This window comes from Homo sapiens, chromosome 15, assembly GCF_000001405.40.
Source record: "Homo sapiens chromosome 15, GRCh38.p14 Primary Assembly".
Lineage (NCBI taxonomy): Eukaryota > Metazoa > Chordata > Mammalia > Primates > Hominidae > Homo > Homo sapiens.
The window spans coordinates 67,763,041-67,783,914 of NC_000015.10; the positions used below are offsets into that span (position 1 = coordinate 67,763,041).

Below are 20,874 nucleotides of genomic sequence, written 5' to 3' on the forward strand. Positions count from 1 at the left end.
TTCACTTTCTCTGCTCAAGACTTGATGTGGAGTAGGATGAGTAAAAGGCGGGCTTTCTGTTCTGCAGCTGAGCGGAGTTAGAGGCTTTCTTCTCTGGTATGTCATCTGCCAGCCTTCCTAAGTTCAAAGCCTCGCTTTCACCCTGATGTTTTCCCTTGTAACACACCGAGAAGTAGGTCAGTTCTATCTGCATCATGAAATCAAAAATAAACTTAGAGTCCAAATGCTGATTGTTCCTTCATGGAGTGGCCACATTTTAAAATAAACTCAATGTTTTAACAAGCATTGATTGAATTTGTACAAATCTGCTATGTAGTTATGGCTACTCACACTCTAAACGAGACTCATTCTCGGACCAGGAGCACCTATTCATCTCTTTCCCACCTTTCTCCTTCTGATAACATGTGACTGCTTTTTTCTCCCCTGTCTACATTCTGTTACAGCAGATATGTACATTGAGGACCTTTAAAATATTAAAATATAGCTGATTTCCCAGAATCTCACATTAGTTTGCACCTTGGACAGGTTGTTTTTGGTTTGAAGATTAGCTTCTATGGAGATCCTTGGAGGTGAGGGTCCAGTTTTTTTTCATTTTTTTGTTTTTTAGATTTTTTTTTTTAAACAAACTCGATTTTCTCCCCAAGCAAGTACAGATTTGCCCTATGGGTTCTGCCAGTTGTGTCATAAAGATGCTACTCTAAGGCAGTGAACAGTGGAGGATCAGAAACCAATTTAGGGTCTGACAGGCAACACGCTATCCTGCTGGGCATGAAGCCCCTAGAATTACAAATGACCTTTGATCCCAGCACTGAGGATAGAATGCAGTGATCCAATAGAGCTTTGCCAATTAGTATGAATCCCAGTGCCTAAGAGTAGACATTGTTGGGCCAGGGCAAAGGAACGTCAGACATGAATTAAAAGATTTACTTTTAAATTATAGAGTGTGACTCTCAATATTGGTCAGACTACAGGTGATTTTCTGGTGTTGAACACCTGTTGGCTTGGTGGCTTGACACCGTAAGTCTAGAAGTGGGCTATTAAAAAACAGTTAGAGGGCTGGCCATATTTCATTTAACTTGCCATGCTGGTTTAATCCAACCACAGTACAGCTGACCTCAGAATTCACCAGTGCAGCCAACACCTTGAGATATTTGAGAGGTTGTCCCATCTTCCTTTGCTTTACTGCCAGTATGCATAAGGTTTGAAGGAATGTCTGTTTTGTATAAGGAGAAGGGAACAGGACCCAGACTACAACATTCAAGGTCCCTCCCACCCTCAGGTGCTGTCTGGGAGAGAGGAAAGAAGAAAGTAGGAGAGCAAAGAAGGTATCTCACACGCTGCAGACTCTTTTACTTTATGCCCCATGACCCTCGTTTGTGAACTCGCGTCTGCCAGCCAAACTGAACCAAAACCTCAGTGCCCTCCTGTTCATCCTGAGTGCCCAGCTTTGGCAGTCTCACGTGGCCACTTCCTCCATCCTGCAGGGCTGGTTATTAGGGATGTACATCTTATCCCTCTGAACAATACACAAATTCTTTGAGGATATGGATTAAGTATCAGCCATTCCACAATGCCAGGCTCATTGCGTTCCACATGGTAGATGCCCACAAAAGCTGTTGAATGAATGAATGAATAATGAATGATTGTATCATTTTTACACAGTATTTTATGTTATGCCTTATCAGTGTCTGAATTAACCACCACATTATTGTCAGGTCCCCCTGTCACCTTTAATTATGAATTATAGGCAAAAATGTAGTCCTAAGGAATATTTTTTTAAGCAAAAGGCCCTTAACTTTTTTCCAGTTGAGTATTTATGCCAGCCTTCTCCCTTATACAAGCAGAGTTCTGCTAAGAATCTAGGCCTCATCTAATTGTTTAAAAATAGTCCCTATCCCTTACCTTTTCTTTTTAAACTTTCTATTTTGACGTAATTTTTAGATTTACATACAGTTGTAAGAAATAATACTGAGAGATCCTGTGTACCTTTCACCCAGTTTCCCTCAACAGTAATATCTCGTAAGTATAGTACAGTATTGGCTGGGTGCAGTGGCTCATGCCTGTAATCCCAGCACTTTGGGAGGCTGAAGCCAGTGGATCACGAGGTCAAGAGATGGGGATCATTCTGGCCAACATGGTGAAACCCCGTTTCTATTAAAAATTCAAAAATTAGCTGGGTGTGGTGGCGCACGCCTGTAGTCCCAGCTACTCGGGAGGCTAAGGCAGGAGAATCACTTGAACCCAGAAGGCAGAGGTTGCAGTGAGCCAAGATCGTGCCACTGCACTCCAGCCTGGTGACAGAGCGAGACTCCATCTAATAAAATTTTTTTAAAAAGTATAGTACAATATCTATACTGTAGATAGAAAATTGTCATAGATACAAGACACAAACCACTGATCTTATTCAGATTTTACCAGTTTTACATGCACTTGTATGGGGGCGGGGAGTTGCAGGGTGGAGGGTAGATTAATGACACAGATTATTCTAAAGCCAAGATACATTATAGTTTCAAAAAAAGAATATTCCTTGAATATTAAAAGCATTTTTCTCATTGATGCTTTCTGTCTTTGGAGTGTCCAGCTTACCTGCCTGCTCTCAAGGTCACTAAACGTATTTATTGGCACACTTACTCTGTAAGTGAACTAGTAGCAGCTGTGGTTGGAATTGGACCTCTTCCTGCCTTGTCTCCTCCACCAGCTCTTTGAGTGTGCAGGTACAGACACACACACACATTTTCTGCTACTTGCCTTTTTTTATGCCTGAGTACCTTGCTGACAAGTGCTAATAACAAAATACCCAGAGAGAGTCCAGTTGAAGTTAACATACATTAAGCATTCTGAACTTGTCCTTTTGCTCATAGATTGTGCATAATTAATAATTAAACAGTTTCAGTTGTAATGGGTTGACCTTCTTGAACCGTTCATTATTCACAAGGCAAAGGCATCACTCAAACTTTTTCCTATTGTCCTTCACTGTTCTCTAGCATGCTGCGTGCTTGTGTTCCAGTTGTTTAGCAAAAGGGGCTGACCAGGTAGTTACTGAAACCTCTGAGGCTTGGAAACTGTCCTCCTCGATGACCAGAATTGCCTACTAAAATGGTTTATGGCAGCTGTTTTTACATAACAGTTGCCTGCTTGATAACAAGACCCAGCTTGTGTCCCTTCAGCAGAACTCTAAAGTTGATTTGAGACTAGACTCTCCGATTGAGGCTTTTGGTTAAGGTTGTGTCCACTGCTTCGTTCTTTACCTCCGTGCTTAGAAGTTCAACGGAAAAGCATCTGGAAGAAAAGCCCTTAAGGTGAGGTATGGCACCCAAGGTCTTAAAGAGAGTGACTTTCATTAACAATTTAGAGTCAGTGTCAGCCAGTACTGAGAATTCAGTGTAACTGCTTCTTCAGCCCACATTTATATTTTTGAAATATATTTCTCCATCTTGCCAGAACCCATATTTCATAGAGGGCATTTTTGGGAAGTAGCAGCAACTGCTTTACTAGAGTCTCTGAACTCCTCGGGATGACTAGATACTTTCCCTTCCTGTGAGCTACAGTGAAACTGGAGCGCAAATTTACTGTATGCCTCCCTCCTCACAGATTTGAATTAGATAACAAAATAGGCAGGTTCTTGGAGATCTTTCACATCCTGATCAAAACTAACTTTGTAATTTTATTTGCTTTAAAAAGAGAAAAGTGTACTGTCAAGTCCTGCAGTGCAGAGAACACTCTCAGGTATATTCCTTTGCTTTCCTTTGGAGTGTTAACAGCTTGCATACTTCTGTGGAGTTGGAGGCTCTCAGAAAACGCCTTTGCCCAGTGTTTATGTGTGGCATTCTCACCATCCCCCTACCACTCAGTCTTCTGCATCTCAGAAAATTCTCCCTTGAGCGATGCAGGAGACATGGATTTTAAAACAAAAATAAATATCTGGCATTGTGCATGTGAGATTAGAATTTCCCCCATATCTTTAATGAGTGATTCTTTCCAGGGACCACTGAGATGAGAATCTGCTGGCTGTGGTTCTGCAAAGTCGACTTGGGCTGGCATTTTCAGAAGGGAAATAAATTATTCATGGGTACCACCCAGTGTTCCTTAGTCTTATAATATGAGGAACTTAACAGGCTACAATATCAGGTCTTAAATAAAATTAACTACCCATGCAAGATGTCACATTTCCTCATTTTGTTTCTCATCCGTTTTTAAATGGCCTCTTCATCAAGTTGCTAGTCTGTAATTCATTAATTTACTTTTGATATCATACTTTGAGAAGAGGCCCACATTAGCATCATGTTTTATACCAGATCTTTATAGAAAGCCAGTCCAGAATTTTAACCATCTTGGTAAATATTGAACGACATTAAGATAGCAGGCTTTTATTTTCCTAAATATTGCATTTTACAGCAACTACTACTCAGATACTTTCAGTACTACACCCTCAAAAAAAATCCATGAAGCGATGACTTAGAGAAGCTTCCTCACTGATCAGAGTCCATCATTTTTACACCTCAGACTTTGAACTATCTTTTTACTAATGGTTTTTGAGACAGTAAAATGTCATTTCTTGAACTGGGCCTTGTAGAATCTTACAGGCTTGGTGATATATATGGCTTTCCTAAAACAGGCTGCAGCTGAAATTGATATCATGTTTTATTTTTGCTCTTCAAACCGATGGGACTTCTGTGGCCATTTTATATACCTTTATTGAGGACTTGTCATGCTATTTTGTGTCTTGTTTCTTTTGAGTGGACTGTTTGATCAGCCACCCATCCACCTCCGTTTTTCATGTCGTCTCTGTGTAATGCCTGCGTGTAATCCTTTGAACTTGGCAAGATTTTATTTCACTCCCATTTTTCCTTTGTTTTCTTTTCCTCTTAACCCTTCTCTACTGATGAGAATTTTAATTTTAGAATTGCTAACCATCCCTTCTTCTGGATGAATAGATTAAATTTAAAGAGGACAGATATGCAAAAACCAAGAAACATTTTGTTCATGTTTCTTTTCTTGTAGCCTCTTCGGTGTTTTTTGTTGTCTGTTTTTTGTTGTTTTTGTTTGTTTTTTGGCTGCCTTGACCCCCTTAGTTCCTTTTGATTTAATTGTATTTTCCAGCACTTTCCAATTGTTTGAATTGGAAACAAAGCCTTAATAAGAGTTCTAGTTAATTTTCTGTCTTGTAATTACCGATCTCATTTTTCTGATAATTGGCCACAGCAATTATATGTATATTTACTAATCACATAGGAGGCTGTGCAATTGTATCTATCTGCCACCATTGATAATGACACGCATATTGCAGAGGTGCTTTTATCATCTTCTTTTTTCCACTACATCAAAGCTATTTCCTCTCGTTCTCAATAATGAATACATGCATGCATTTGACACAGTTGTGTGCTAGAGAAATTGTTTGGCTCCCACCAAATGCTGCATGCTCTGAGTTTCTTGCCTGCAGCGCTGGAAGGTTGTATGTAATGATATATTGCTCATCCAAATGGCCAAAGCACTCCAAAGCACAGTGAGATTAAAATAAGTCATTCCTTTGTTAATTTAAATAGGTGCATGTATCATACTTTGCAGGGCACTTTGTGTAGGGATGTCAGGGAGGAAAAAAGCCGCCGAAAGGTATTTTTAATAGCAAATGAGAATAGATGAGAATGGAGTCATTTGCAGCTGCCTACTTTATGTGGCTCTCTTGTTCCAACTGTAGGTCTAATGAGATGACTGTTAAAGTACTCTGCAGTGTAATTTTATTACATCCTGAGCTGTTACACTATAAACACAGTGGCGCTCTCTGTCATTCTTGGAAAAACTCCTAAATTCTTAAAGCCTTCCTTTGCAAACGGTAATGGGGTTTGCTCTTTGTATTATGTGGTGGTGGTTGTTTGTTGCTGTGTAGTTTTCTGCTTTTTTGACTGACTCCCACCTCCATCCTAGTTTTGGTTGGTGGTCAAGTTGGGAGTTTTTCATTGTATCCTTAATTCACTGGCTTTCTCATATGAGGAGTCTGCCTAGACTGGCAAATAGGCTGAAATTCCTTTTCAGGAAACAACTTCCCCTATAAAAGCCTTTCTATTAAAGTAAAAAAAAAAAATTGATCCAAATTATTCTGTTAGGGGCAAACAGTAAAGAGCAGTTGAATATACAAATAAATGTAAATAAAAAGGAAAGTGTAAATAAATAGCAAATCCAGTAAAAGAAACAAAGGTCAACACAAGAATAATTTCACAGCTCTTTGTTAATTACAAGACCATTTGTGTGTTACTTAAATAATCATTAATTTCTCATTTACACTTTCCCTACCTTCTCTCCTACCCTGTGGCTATCATTGTCCTTTTTTCACCTCCCCCTCTCTCAGCTCTCATGTTTCTCACCATTGTAAAATATGTGTGGCTTTAAATTTGGCATCTTTACCTAAATGTGTGGAATAAGGTAAAGACAGTCTTTTTAATTGGGTGAGGCCTTATTCTCATTGTATTCATCTTTATACTCATCCTTCACATGGGTGGGTGGGGAATATAAAGAAAGAGAAGGAACTGTTGTGACTTTTGGTGACATGTTTTTCCTCCATCACAGGATTCGCCCGTCCTTCCAGTTGGAGAGTTCTCGGAGCCATTTGTACATTTCATCACTCAGTGGTGAGCCCGTTTACAAACATGCCATGCCCTCAATGTAAATGATACATGCCATTAACTCGGCAGCTCCGTGAGACCTTATGGCTCTCCCTGCATCCTTTTGGAGACAGGAGGGACTTCGGGGCCTTGGGCAGATGGGGCAGCAAAGCTGAAGAAATTGTTTAAATTATGTAAACGTTATTTACACAAAGGGTCATAAGCATACTTCAGAGCCTTTTTCCTGATTTAATAAACTGCTGAAAGTCATGATACTTCTTTAAGCACAAATACTGTTGCCATCCTTTTTTAAAAAAAGAAATACACAATTTTATAGCCCCTACTGAACGGACGTACGAAGCTTATTTTTATTAATGTAACCTCAAGTTACCCATAAAACTGTCTTGTCACTTAGTGGAAGCAGCATAGTTTATTAATTCATCGGATTTTCAGTAAATAACTTTTATCTTTGGTTGTATTTTAAATACAATACTGGGGTACCATTTCAATGAATTTTGACATTTGGAAGACTATGAAAACAGTTCAGCCCACTTTAACCCTTAAAGAACTGAGAGGAGCCACAGGGGCCCTCAGAGCCTCTAGGCAATTCCTTGTCATTTTATATCTGAAGAAACAAGCATTTTACTGCCAAGGGTTCTTTGCCAGCCTTCTGCCTTTTTCCTCCTAGCAGAACGCAGATGTCTTTTATTACCCCTTTCACCATCATTCCCCTCTTCCCTCGTCCTGCAGGACTCATGTGGCCTTGGGAGGCCCAGGTATTCCTCTGCCCTCTCCCTCACTCCAGCACAGAGAATTACCTAGGAGAGAGGAGGAATTCAGGAACATAGGAATCATTGTCCTCAAAGCAGGAGACAAAACCAACCGCAACTCCTTCTTAACTACGTTGGTCTTCTTTCCCTCCTTCACCAAAGTCCAGAGTCATGTCCACTGGTGGAAAATGAATGGGCAGACCCTACCAGAAGAAACCCTTGGTTCTGTGGTGTGGCAAAGTAATGTTATCAGGATTCTTGCTAACCAAAATCGTTGTGTGCCATCCCCTTCCCCTCCCACTATGATCTGTCCGATGATTATGCTAAAGGGAAACCAAGAAATATTCCTTAATATAAATGTCAAGCTTTATCACCTTTTTGACTAAGTGTAACATGTTACCTCTTAATAAAAATGTCTCATGCAGTTTATATTCCATAGAAAATATATGTGAGGAAGAAATTTTTCTCCCCAATTAAAAAAATTTTATTAACACTGTTTCTATTTATTTAAAATACTTATATAATATTGTGTAGCTTTTAAAAACTATTTTTACTCTGAAAACATTTTATTTCCAAAGCATGCCATGTCGGAAAAAAGCATACATGTTGATTAAACACTGGAATCCTGAGCTGTTTTGAAGCTCCTTAATGATGTTAGAACCATTACCCAGAAATGTATATCCCTCTTAATTTCCTTTACATGGAATTCTTAAAACACATGGTAATGTGTACCATGTGTTTTACACATGGTAATGTGTACCATGTGTTTTACACATGGTAATGTGTACCATGTGTTTTACACATGGTAATGCCTCATTTTGAAATGCAAAAATTGAAACACAAACCATGCGATTCCTCTACTGCCTGGAGCGCCTGGTTTGGGCATCACCCTCTCTGCTCCGGAGGAGATGTTGGATTTGTGACAGGATCCCAGTGCTAATCTTATCTCGCTGTGTGGTCTGAGACCAACCTGGGGGTGGGGCTGGTCTGAGCAGCAGGGAGAAAAGTGGATAAGGCTTCACCTCCCTCCTGTCCAAAAAATTAATCAGCTGTTATTTAAAAGTTTTATGGAGACAGAGGGAGGGATAACCTGCATTCAAATTTCCACAGATGTCAAGCCAAAACAGAAATGATAGTGGGTAATAGCCTTGTTTTCCCAAGAGATACAGCTACTTTGGAATGTCAGATTAGGACTGTTACCAACTCCACTGGCGAGACAGCTTGAATTAGTTGCTAATGGATGCAGTGTTTGAGAGGTGCATATGGTTATTTATAGGGAAGGCAAATGTCCTCGATGTCATTAATGGTTCATAACTCCGATTCTTGTTTACCAAATGATCATTAAATCTATTTTTAAAAAAGTATTGTCAGCAAATGCAGAGATTATAAGAAGAGTTTTCTTCTTGCTTGTTAGAAGAGTGCCTTATAAAGAAAAAAGCATCCGTGTGATTTTTCCAAGTGATAGAAGCAGCAATCTCTTTTCATGACTATCCCATGGACACTCTGAGTTTAGAACAAATACAGCCATCAAGTAGGCAGCTGCCCACAGTCACCTCCATCCCATGTGTGAGTGCTTCATCACATAGCTAAGTACATGTTACAGCTACTAATTATATCTATTGCATGGAAGACAAGAAATATTTTGCATGAAGAATGTGATTCTTTAAGCAGCTTAAACAAATTTAGCTGTCCCACAGCGGTTTAATGAATTATCAACTTGCCTTGTTGCCAAAACAAATGCAAGTCAAGATAATCTATAGCAACACACTTCTAATTTTGTAGCATTATCTAGATTCCTGACCTGTTTTATATACTTCTTGTCATTCGGAGTAACAGTGAAAGAATGAGATGTATTCTCATTTGACTCTACAGTCATGTTTCTTTCCTTACTGTCTTATCCCAATTACCAAAAAAAAAGGTATATTCTCTAAATATAAGTTTGAAATAAATTGATAATTGAGTCAATAAGAGAATATTGCTGCTTTTTTCACATTCGCTTCAAAAGTAGAATTAGGATACATTTAATTTAAATTCATTCTTTATTTGTGTTGCAAAATATTTTTTAAGTGAAAAAGTAAGAAAAAGCTTTTTGTTTCTTACTCATAATGTCCCCCAGAAATCTGACTAAGTAAAGACCAAAATAAAAGAAAGGGAATATATGCTAATACTTTGGCCAAGAATTGAACATGATGTATTTTGAAAACATTCAAATTCCAGTACAAATAGCCATTGGTAGAAATTATAGCAAAAATATACAAATGACACAGATAACATAAGGGGTTTTTTTCTCTCCACTATAGTATGCGAAAACAGCCAAAAGAAAGGCCAGCACCTGAAGAATTGATGGTAAGTGAATGTTTTTAGTTACATTAGAATTCTCAGTTATATATTTATGTTTAACATTCTGTTTAAAAGTCCAGAATGGAATTTGAAACAGCCATAGGCTCTGAAAAGGCAACATTATTTACTTCATTTGGGTAGATGTTTTTGAAGCTCATATCCTCAGATAATAGTGTTTACTTTTTAAAAACCCACCACCTTTTTGAAAGTTAATGCAGAGCTCTTTTCATTTGCCTCATCAAGGGTCACAAACTTAATGTAGGTTACTCTTTATCCTCATTTGCTATTAAACCTTTTAGAATTCAGAGGATTGGTAACAGAAGATCATCAGTGCAATAAGTTTTTAGTGCAATTCTGCAGAAAATTTCTGAATATGGCATGGAGTCCTCTTAGATTCATGTAGAATGAAATTAAACTGGCTGCAAAAGATCAAGTTAATGTGAATCTTTGGTCTTTCCTCAGAAAGAGACAGCTACAAGGCTGCGAGTGCTGTGTTCTCAGCTCCAAGGCAGCTTTCTTTGATTGCAAATGACAGTTTTTAGTCAAGCAGGGAGAGGAACAGAGATGCTCCCTAACAATTCCCAAATGGTCATTTGTTTAGTGCAGATTGTTGATTTGACAATGCACAAGCTGTTAGAATAACGTTAGGATCGAGCATTAGTAAATAATAATTATAGTCTATTCTTTCTAATGTTTTGCATACCATTCCCTGCCTTTAGATTACTACAGTCAGAGCAAATTCCTACCAATTTTCTTTCACCTTCTTTAAACAATATGCATTTTACAGATACCAGTTTAGAGGTTTTCGTCCTTTGTATTCCAACCTAATAAACAGTTTCAGTGCCCCAACTTCTTTATAATATGGATTTCATCCTTGAATATAAAATAACAGTACGTTTCCTTTTTGCATCATGAATGCTTTCCAGGAAGGTACTTTCCTCCTTCATGTTCCCTGGAGCAAAATCTCAGTTTTCAGGGTAGTTTCAAGTTAAAGATCACCCCTAAAAACCTCTGCAATTTATAACTCTGCAGGTTTCATGTCTAGAATAAACTGGTCTCTTTTTTTGGTCTCTGTGATGGTTGGGAAATTCTTGCAGTTAGTCACATTTGAGAAAACTTGGAACAGGTTCTAGAGATGGAGACCCATTTACCTTGTGCATTATTATGCTATGGCTGGATAGCTCAGCTGTTAAAACAAAGGAATAGGGTTTCATAAAACAGATATTTGTTTGTAAATGCATGTTTCAATGCTGCAATGAGTTGGCCACTTATAAATAAAACATCTGCAGATCACACATACGCCCATAAATGTATATGGATGTATATGTTGGTAAGGAACACCACTCCAGGGTGGCACATCATAAAGACAAGGCTAAAGGGTGAGTACTTTCAGTGCCTTGAAAGCAAGTGATGTGTGTGTATGTGTGTGTGTGTGTGTGTGTGTGTGTGTGTGTGTGAGAGAACATAGGTATTTAGATATATCTCTTTACAACTCTATACCCTGTTGTGTGCTGTCCCACATTTTAAATTAATAAATATCAATAAATCAATAAAATACAATGAAAAATGTTGTCACAGGAAGCACCATTCCATACTTAATTTAACATTATTTCTAGTACTGCTCACTGTTTGATTTTAAATGAATGCATTCCCAGAGGTATAGCAGTGGTGAGGCACCACTGCTTTGGCAGGGCTCAGTGAGGAGGCAGGGAACAATAGACTATATGTGAAGCTGCTGTGGTCAGAGAGTGAGCCCTGCCTGGACTTTGGGCAAAAGATTGGGCCCAATAGGGGATGGGAAAGAAAGTGGGTTTTCCTTTATCTTAAGGAACTTAAGCCACATCCTAGGGGCCCAATCTAAAGGAACCAGCCTCTTTATTCCTTCCAGCATATTAATGGCTTTAATTTTTCCTTTTCTCTTCCCACCTACAACCTATTTGATGGTGCTCCCATCTGGAAGCCGAGAGACTCCTCTGGAATGCATGAACTATAGAGCCCATTTGTCACCTGGGTGGGGGCCTGTGCCTTTCACAAAAAGAGCAGTTTATCTCCCAAGCATGGTAACTCCAGCCAGCAGGGTACCAGCATGGGCTGCATGGGCCGCTTCAAATGTGAGGCCTGCAGGATTGTCAAGGTTTCCCTGTAGGCCTCCATTTCCAAATCAAAGAAAGAAAATTAGAGATGGGCAGCTGGAAATACTGGAAGTTATAGATTCACTATTTGGGAACTCTTATATGAACTCCAGGTGTGACCTTGACCAGCGAACACAGCAAGTCTCAGCCTAAGTAAATCAGAATGTAGGACTGGTGGGCTAGATCACCCTTACTCCTGGGTCTGGGCCATGCAGAGTGGGCACTTAGGTGGTGAGGTCACTGTTTATACCAGAATACCCCTTATCGAATCATAAAATCATCATCTTGGCAGTTTTTGACCATGTCAGTCTTAAAGATTAATGTAAAACTCAATGTTAGACTTTGGAGACCATTAAAATATCAGTGTTAGAACTCATTTAGTTGTTTAGATATTTTATCCCCTCTACTTTGTATGGTTGTTCTTATGATGGTTTTCGGTCTTTATATCCTAAGTGGAAGTATTTTAAAGTTGGACCAAGAAATTCCTTTACTGCTTACATTTTGGGGAGGCCAGGATACGTTTCAGCTGCTGTGGTTTTCTGGCATGTAGCCATGAAGCTACATCAGAAGTGCTCTCAAAAGTTTTATCAGCATCTGCATCATCCTAAGAGATTTCAGACCCCATTAAATAATTGAATTTGTTAGTTGATATACCATTGTGCACAGTCTTGTTCTAGACTCAGCAGAAGATATAAAGTAGAGGAAGCCACACAGATAATCTTTTGGAGCTATAGCAAGTATACAAATAACTAGAATGAAGTAACTAGTATAAAAGAACTGCAGGGTTCTGTGGAGATCCATCTGGGGAAATGAGGAAAAACTGGGTAGAGAAGGTAGCATTTGAAAAGGGCCTTTGGAGGATGAAGTGAATTTTAATAGAGAGCTTTGAAGGGGCCATTCCAGGCAAAGGAAACAGGATGGGCAAAGCATGAGTGTATCTCGGTTTCAGACATTTTCAGAGCAATGTGAAGCCTCTAGTGCCTGCTGGAACAGAAACCTCTTCAACATTGACCTGGTGGAGTTCAAACAGGCAACATATTCACCACCAGCTGGGCAATCTCTTAAGACATTCCACTTCTATACAAGGAACCCTGGGAACACCACACTTATCCACATGGATCTTTTTTCTTGAGTGAATTCTCTTGAATGGTCTCCTGTTCATGTATAGGGAGGTCCCTCATCCTTGGGAAAGGTGTGACTTTCAATTCTTTAAGAGCCTATTGCAGAAATCAGGAGTCAGCTTTAAACCCTGCTTTAAAGGTAAACTAAGCGTGCAGGCAGCCAAGAACATTCAGCATACCGACAGAAGACAGGTAGAACCCCACCCCCACCCCCACCTCCACTTCTGCCTCCAATTCTTTTCCTGGATAATGATTCCATTATTAAATAATCTGCTTTTAAATCACGCTGCTGCAACTCCCAGGAAAGACCTGTGTCAGTGCTGCCCCAGCTCTGTGAACTGGGACCAACAAACTTAGGGACAAATTTTCAGACAGTAGAGACCCTGAGGAGGTAGCAGACAGAATGTCCAGCAGGCCTTCAGAAAAATGCAGGGATTCCATGGCTTATGTGGGAAAAAGCCAGCCCCTTGCCAGTCAGAAAGGATTGGTGGGACTGCAGCAAGAGGGGAGACAGCGATAATGCAAAGATGGTAGAGAAATTTCCCTTAAATGTCAATAATCAAATGGAAGGATGCAAAAACATAAAAATCAGACCCTTAAATTCAGGGACAAAGACAACCTAAGATGAGAGCATTAAGATGGGGGTTCAGGTTGGTTTTGCTATTCAATTTCTGTGTTTAAATATTTTTAAATAAAAGGGGTATGTGAGATATTACTGTATAGACCATTTGCTTCTCTAAACCACAAGGAATTCCTTCTGAGGAATTAATCATCCTTCAGAGTTATTTGGTAGCTAAGGTCAGGATGTGACTTAGCCGGGAGAACCTCCATCACATCCCTTCACTGTGTAACCTCAGCCAACTCCCCATCCCCTCTCCACTTCAGTGTCTTTTCATCTGCAAAACCGAGGGGGCAGCCCTTGACCAATGGTCTGTGACTTTAGGAAGTCAGAACCCCAGAAATTACATCCGAAGTTATCTATGCATGTGGAGATGTTTCTTTTCATCCAAAAACAGGAATTCATGACTGCTACATTTTTCAAAGGGGACCCTGACCCTCAATGATTGTTAAGCTCCCTTGCTTCTGTCCTTTAGAGTTACTTGGCCAGGAGCTGACTGTAGGGAGGGAAGTGTTCACTCAGCGGGAGAGTGCTTGCTTGAGGGTGGGGTGGGGTGCTTTCTATGGGGTTCAGCAGGGCTTTGCACCAGCTGTCAGGCAGCCCTTTAACTTCCCTGCCTAGCCTGATTGTGGGCCTTAACTTGAACGGGGAAGGTGTGGGCTGTGGGCACCCACACAGTTACAATTTGGGCTCAGAGTACGGTAGATCTTTCTATGCATTTAGAGTGTTTCCAGAAGCTTTCAGTGTCTAAGCTCTATTTAATGGAATCTATGCATAGTAAGTAATCAGGTCAGAAGAAGCAGCATCCCGGTTTGAGATCAATCGCTGGCTAATACTTTATCTAGGCCACTTTATTATCTCATGCTGATCTGATTCCCATTCTCCCCCTCCTTTGTAGCATGCACTTCGGCTGTGGTAAAAGTACGTATCACATACATATTAAAAACATATACCCATTCTATCTGTATGTAAATGCGTGAGGCACAGCTGGATATTGCAGAGGAGTTTGATTTACTAATAGTTATTATCTGTTCTAGCTGTTCAGTGGCAGCGAGAATTTCAGAGAAACAAGCTGGCGAAGAAATTTTCTTTATGCTGTTACTATACTGCTTTAGTAATTGTTTAAAAACATGGGTTTTCTCCTTAGGTTCTAGTAATGCCTGTTATTTTGTGCATCTCCTTGTACATTCCAGAGTAGGACATCCTTTAAAGGCATTTAGCATTTCCTCAGGTTTGGTTTTCAATTTAGGCACCTAAAAAGAAACACAGGATGCAGTTTGCAATTGAAATTTGACATTTTGCTTAGACAGCAAGTAAATAGTGGCATTAGAAATACAACAAGTTGGCATGGGTCCTAGAAGGCGGGGTATCAGTTAAAATCAGAATAGCGCTCTTGGATTTTTTTCCTTCATGTCATCCCAGCAGCTGCAAACTTGAAGGCATCTCATTTCTCAGCTAAGGCTTTATGTATAAGAGGTGGTAATGTTTGGGGGCTAATAAACACCAAACTGCTCTAGAAAAATCTGTTTAAACATTTAATTACTTACTAAGAGATGTTAACTTGTTTAACTCCTCTAAATTAAATTGTCACTGGTAGCTTTTCTGCTTTTCCAAACCTGATTGTAATTACATTTTCAGATAGTATGGTTGGTTGTTCTCTCAATTAATCAAGGTATATGATAAATTGCACATCTGCGTGGTCCCTTTAAAAATCAGGGTAACCATGATGTTAGATTTTTGTCTCTCCAACACTCAAATTCCAGTGTGACTTTGGGCTTCACACCAAATGGCTTTGTTTCATTGTTAGACCCAAATCTTCTGATCACTGTGAAAGACAAAATGCACTGGACAATTAAGAAGATGATTTTATTTAGGGCTATTGCAGTAGGGAGAGTGTTTATTAATGAGGAATGGCTCAAAGAAAAGGGAGGGTTCTGAGGTCTTATGAAGGCAGGTAAACAAGGGGGTCACCAGCAAGTCTTAGAGAAGTCACGAGGAAAGATGGAAAAGGATCTTACCTCTGTGAGAGCAGGGTGATCCTTTGCGGTTAGCAGAAGGGTAGGGGGATTTCTTACCTGTTACTGTTTACTAGAAGCACGGGGCTCAGATCAATTCAAAATGATCACCACATTCTACTAAACATGCCAAAGATAAGTTTCGGTTTACTTTGATCCGGGGCTTACCTGTGCCCTGAGCGCAAATATGAAGAAAGGTGCATTTCCATAGCCCCCTTAGAGAGTGCTCATCCACCCTGTGCTTGCAAAAATCTAAGCTTTTTAAAATACTAATGATGGTTAATAAATTGTGAACTTGGATGTAGTTCACTACAGTTAGGTATTGCCTGTGTCATATAAAGTGTGTTTTAAAATGAACCTTTAGGGCCAGACTCCTAATGTGTCTGGCCACTCATTCTTGTAAACATCATTTTGTTTTCAGTTGTTCATTTGGAAGTAGCTCATTAGCTATGCCGCCCAGAATTTGCAGTGAGAAATACTGGCTGGGATTGTAACTTCAGCTGAGTATTTCCATCATGCACAAAAGTCATCACAACAGCAAGGGGGCCCCACGTAGGGTCCAGCTGACAACCATGGAATTTTTTTTTAAGTTCTGAAGGCCATTAAAATCATCTGTTTGTGTCTGCTTATAAAGAGGAACCCACTAGTAAAGAAGTTGATTTTAGCTTTTTAATTGCATATAATTACATCGGCAGAATCACTGTCTGGATACTTGAGATCGCACTAAATCAGACAGCTTTAATTTGAATTTTTGATGACACATTAGCACTTCAGCAAGAACAGAGAGATTATAACCCTAAGAAAACAGGCTTTGTTTTTCCATAGATGTGACCACTTAATCTTTTCACAAGACTTTAGCAGATAAATATGTGTGTGTATGTATATGTCTTTATATGCATGCGCATAGCAAGAGAGATATAGATAAAGTCTGTCATTCCTTGATCATGGTGATCTGACAGTTTTAATCTCCCAGTTAAGCATAGCTTTTTTCCTCCATCAGTCAAGTCAGATCTCTTAGTATGATGATGACTTGCCTGTTTAAGATTGTAGTTATTTGAACTCATGTCTCTAATGCCTCTTTCGTGTTTTATTGGACTGTCATCTTCCTAGTATCTTGTTTCAAGGCACAGTGAAGCTGTGTAGCATTCATTGAGCACAGGAAGAGTTTGGTTATCTTGGATGCAGTAAAGTGGATCAGTTGGGCTGCTCTTCAGTGCCGTGCCAGATTTGCGGCAGCGGGAGGCTAAGGTGGGTCTTTAAAGTATGTTACACTTTAGTTCCTCATTGGCCATGACTCAGCTCACTAGAACTTTCTGTTATTTGGGTGGTGCCCTCAGCCTAAAAGAGCCTCCTCTCCCCTCCCCTGGAAGGTCTTGGTCCTCCTCCCTGCGGCTTTTCCCTACTCTTCGACTTTACAGTTGCTTGCTTCCTTCTCTGAAGCCCTTCAGCATGTATTGTGTCTAGGTTGGAACAGCATTTAATTATATATTCATCTTATGGCCACAAGTTAGTCCATGTAGTACAGCGGCTCTCAACACTAGCAGCTCATCAGAGTTACCTCAGAGGTTTAAAAGGCTAAAGAAAAAAATGCCTGGATCCTAACCTAGATCAAAGAAGCTCTGGCCAGGGAGCAGATACTTTTTTTTTTTTTTAACCTTTAAAGTTCTCTAGGTGATTACAAGGACAGCCAGAGGGGAAACTCACTGGTTTAATACCTTTTTTCTTCCACTAGATTGTAAGTTCCTTGAAGGAGGATCATGATCTTATAATTCAGTGCCTATCCTAGTCTGCTGTCATTTAGGCAAAACAGTGTTGGTTGCACATGCTATTCTCTCTAATCCAATCCAGTAAAACACTGTGCAGATAAAGTAGACACTAAACAGATAGACAAACAAGACATGTATCTGGTTCTCCAGGAACTCAGAGTAAAGCTGAAGAAACTAATCCAAGAACAAGCAATCCCTGGACATTACAATATACAGTATAAATTAGGGTGGCCACGCTAGAATACATGGCCAGATAAAAAAGGTTTTTGTTTGACCTCCTGCTAGGAGAGGTCATCTAGGTTAGAAAATTTGGTGCCAAAATAATAAAATTTCTAGGATGTTCCAATATTTGCAGGGATAATATTCAAAACATTTAACAACCAGTATAGCATGAGGATTACCGTTCAGAACCAACACCAGGGTTTAGCCATCCCACCCTGGATGTATGGACAGAGCTAGGAGGTGCTGACCAGGTGGTGATCAGCAGCACATATGATCTTTGGTATGCATTCTGACCACTTGAGAATTTACCTCAAGCAAGTAACTCCACATCCAGAGGTTATTAGAGAGCCAAAACCTAGAGGAGACCTCCTGGCTAGCACCATCTTTGCCTGTTAGATTGATGACAGGGGACCCGAAGGTTTTTATCTGTCAGCACATCAGATGCATGCCACCCACTCCCCAGCTCTTGGGAATAATGGATTCAGTTGAAAAAGATCAGAGACATTCAGCCGTTTGTGGGAGAAATATAAAAGGATCCTAAAGCTAGTCCCTGGGATTTGGGAATTGCTGTTGAAGGTAGCAAAGTTGTTTTCCTGTGAGTACACACCGATAAATAGATGCAGTTCTTATCAATTATTAACCAGTCTAACCAGGAATTTTAAGAGCTGGGGAAAATATTAGAAAGCTCCTATTTACAGTTGTGCCAGCTGGATTTGTTTAATGGGTTGTTTGCTTTTTAATTTGTAGCAGTTTTGAGAGAGACCTTTGGGGATTGTGAGTCTTGTGGTTTCGGATACAGAGTTATTTGGGGGGCCAAATCTGCCTGCAGATAATTTGAGGTTCACTTGGCCATTTAGAGACTGCAGAAAGGCAGTAGAGACATTTGGGCCTACCGTCCTCTATTTAATTTTCAAGATTAGAATTAAACGTTAGGCCTTGGTCTACCGAGAGACATTTGCTGGAGTGTGGACTAGTTTCTTTCCAGTATCGTGGTTTACCGTTTCTCTGGTCTCTTCATATAAATGGTCACTGATTCTGAAGTAGGAGAATAGGTACCATTCATTTATTTGTGCAAAAGTTCCCTTGACACAAATGAAAATGGAATTTTCAAATGTAACCCGATTGACTCTTAATTGTTAGCCTGTGTGTGTCTTAGCTTCCTCAGAAGGCTTCTGAATGGCCTGCATCTCTTTCTAAATTTGAGGGGGAGGGGGATTCAATTAATAGCAGGACTTTCTAATTGTGGGATTGGTGTGGCATTGACAAAAATTTGTATAAATAGGGTACATTTTTTCCACTTAAGAGGGCTGTGCTGAAACATTTTTAATTGGATTTTCATGGTGATTGACAGCATTTGATTATGACAGTAACTTTATTTGGCTGGACTGCTTTAGCCTCTTGTTCAGATTTTTCCATCAAAGCTCTTTTTTAATCCTCTGAATCCCCAGTGGAGCAGCAGTCATTGTGGAAGAGCCTTTTAGCACCTTTGTTGTAGCCATCCCTGGTGATGATTGGGCCCAGCTGGTAGTAGATAAGAAAATGTTCCTTTCACAAAGAGGCAGTGTCTCCCGCCTCTGCGGTTTCAATAATTTTAAGAGCCCCCAAAACCTGTTGAGGATTAGAAGTAGCTTTAGATGTGAAATGAGTGTTAAGTATTAGTAATCGGGAGATTAGGGCCCCAGGGACAATGAGAGATAAACAACTGCAATTAAGGCAAATCTGCCGATGTAAACAAAATTTAGCAGAAACAGATGCCCTAACCATTTTGGGGGATTGATTTGAGGGCACCGAGGAATCGATTTTTGTCTTGTTTACACTTTCAAACCCCTGTGATATACTGGAAGGCTAAATATTTCATACAGCCTGATTTTAGTTAATTTTTTTTTCAGCGCCTCACAGTAGGCGCCTCTCTTCTCACAGTGACCAGGCCTGAGTTTATTCAGCATTCACAGGGAGCAGCTAATTGTCTATGAAGGGCCCCCGTGTTTAAACGGGCTTGACAGGAATTTAAATTTTGTTTCAATCAACCCCTGTGCTCACAGCCTGCTCCAGTTTCTAATTTTTAAATTAAACATGACTTTTTTTTTAAGCCACAGCTTTGCCTCTGGAATACTCTCGCTCTAACTCTGGGGAAGGCAGATCGGCAACCCTGGAATGCTGGTTTATGCAGGGCCTGTGGCACCAGCTCTGGACTGGAAAGTCCCTTCTCCAAAACAAGCTTTCCTCCCGTCAGGGAGGTCAGCAGAGCTTCGGCTGGGCGCTGTCTCCTTCCTGCCTTCAGAAACGGCCCCCTTTTCAGCTCTCCTGTGCAGGCAGCAGTGCTGCATCATCTGGAAAGTGGGTTAAGCACCGAAGGAAGGTGTAAGGATGGCTTTTAGGGGACTGGCTGAATTATAACCCACTGCACGTCTGGTGCAGATTTGTATTGCAGAAGCCTTTTCTACTGTTGTGAGACATGGAGAGAAGCCGATGTGGGAATCACAGATGTGCATTTCAGTCTGCACTCGCCATTTTTATGTCTTAGCATCTGCTCTGTGCCCAGCATCCTGCCTGACACCGAGGAGGCAGCATGTCAGCCCCAAGTCCTGACCCCCCAGCCAGCTCACAGTCCAGTGAGGAAGGTGAGGGTAGACACAGCCAAGCACAGGATAGAATGTGAGAATTGCCAGAGACCCCCGCTCACCTTCTCCTCCCACCCTCACCTACCCCTTCACCTCAGGCCACTCCTGTGGAGTCCTGTGCTCCAAACTTCTGGCAGTCCCCAGATGCGTGAGGCATCCTCACACAGTCATGTCTTTGCTTGTGCTGTTTTCTCACCGCCAGATGGTGAACTTCTCCACCTCCGAAACCCAACTGGCACAACCTCTGTGAAGCTTTGCTAAGCGTGCTTCAGTTGGGTTGAGGACTTCCTTTTGCCTGTCACCCTTCACCCTGGCTAATACTTCTGTTAGTGCACTCGTCACGCTTTGTGGCAGTAACTTGTGGTAACAGTCAATAAAAGAGACCACAACCCCTCGAGGAAGAGATCATGTCTTATCTTTGTATCCTTAGCATCTAGCCCAGTCTCCAGCCTGAGTAGAATGCTCAAATATATGGTCATTGAATTTAAATGATATGAATTTAACAAGTGAAATGAATTTCTGCTAGGGGTATCTGGGGAGGCTTTGAGAATGGAGTGACAGGTGAGCTGGGACCCACGGACATTTGGGTATTTATGTGAGTATATTACTTTTCTGCACACAGATGTGAAAGGCAGCTTATATCATAAGTAAAAGTACCAGAGCCTCTAATAG

At 40.5% G+C, this 20,874-nt stretch overlaps 1 protein-coding gene across 3 annotated transcripts in view, besides 4 other annotated features; it reads left to right on the forward strand.

Moving 5' to 3' along the window:
* Window positions 1–20,874, forward strand: part of MAP2K5 (mitogen-activated protein kinase kinase 5) — a 264,412-nt gene that overhangs the window by 220,338 nt on the left and 23,200 nt on the right. For all 3 annotated transcript variants that reach the window (NM_145160.3, NM_002757.4, NM_001206804.2), the window contains 2 exons: window positions 6,562–6,623; window positions 9,667–9,712. In NM_145160.3, the coding sequence (NP_660143.1) occupies window positions 6,562–6,623; window positions 9,667–9,712 (108 nt within the window). The remainder of the gene's footprint in view (window positions 1–6,561; window positions 6,624–9,666; window positions 9,713–20,874) is intronic.
* Window positions 47–106: an enhancer, noted in NCBI's record as "active region_9633". NCBI's record gives its function as "activates an Ori minimal core promoter by ATAC-STARR-seq in GM12878 lymphoblastoid cells {active_cell/tissue: GM12878}" and the evidence as "EXISTENCE:reporter gene assay evidence [ECO:0000049][PMID:35858748]".
* Window positions 177–226: an enhancer, noted in NCBI's record as "active region_9634". NCBI's record gives its function as "activates an Ori minimal core promoter by ATAC-STARR-seq in GM12878 lymphoblastoid cells {active_cell/tissue: GM12878}" and the evidence as "EXISTENCE:reporter gene assay evidence [ECO:0000049][PMID:35858748]".
* Window positions 8,467–8,742: an enhancer, noted in NCBI's record as "heart enhancer 7". NCBI's record gives its function as "activates a minimal c-fos promoter by transgenic reporter assays in zebrafish embryonic heart {active_cell/tissue: heart(embryonic)}" and the evidence as "EXISTENCE:transgenic organism evidence [ECO:0001131][PMID:20075146]".
* Window positions 18,877–19,712: an enhancer, noted in NCBI's record as "NANOG-H3K4me1 hESC enhancer chr15:68074255-68075090 (GRCh37/hg19 assembly coordinates)". NCBI's record gives its function as "activates a minimal SCP1, AML or CMV promoter by ChIP-STARR-seq in naive H9 embryonic stem cells {active_cell/tissue: H9 hESC(naive)}" and the evidence as "EXISTENCE:reporter gene assay evidence [ECO:0000049][PMID:30033119]".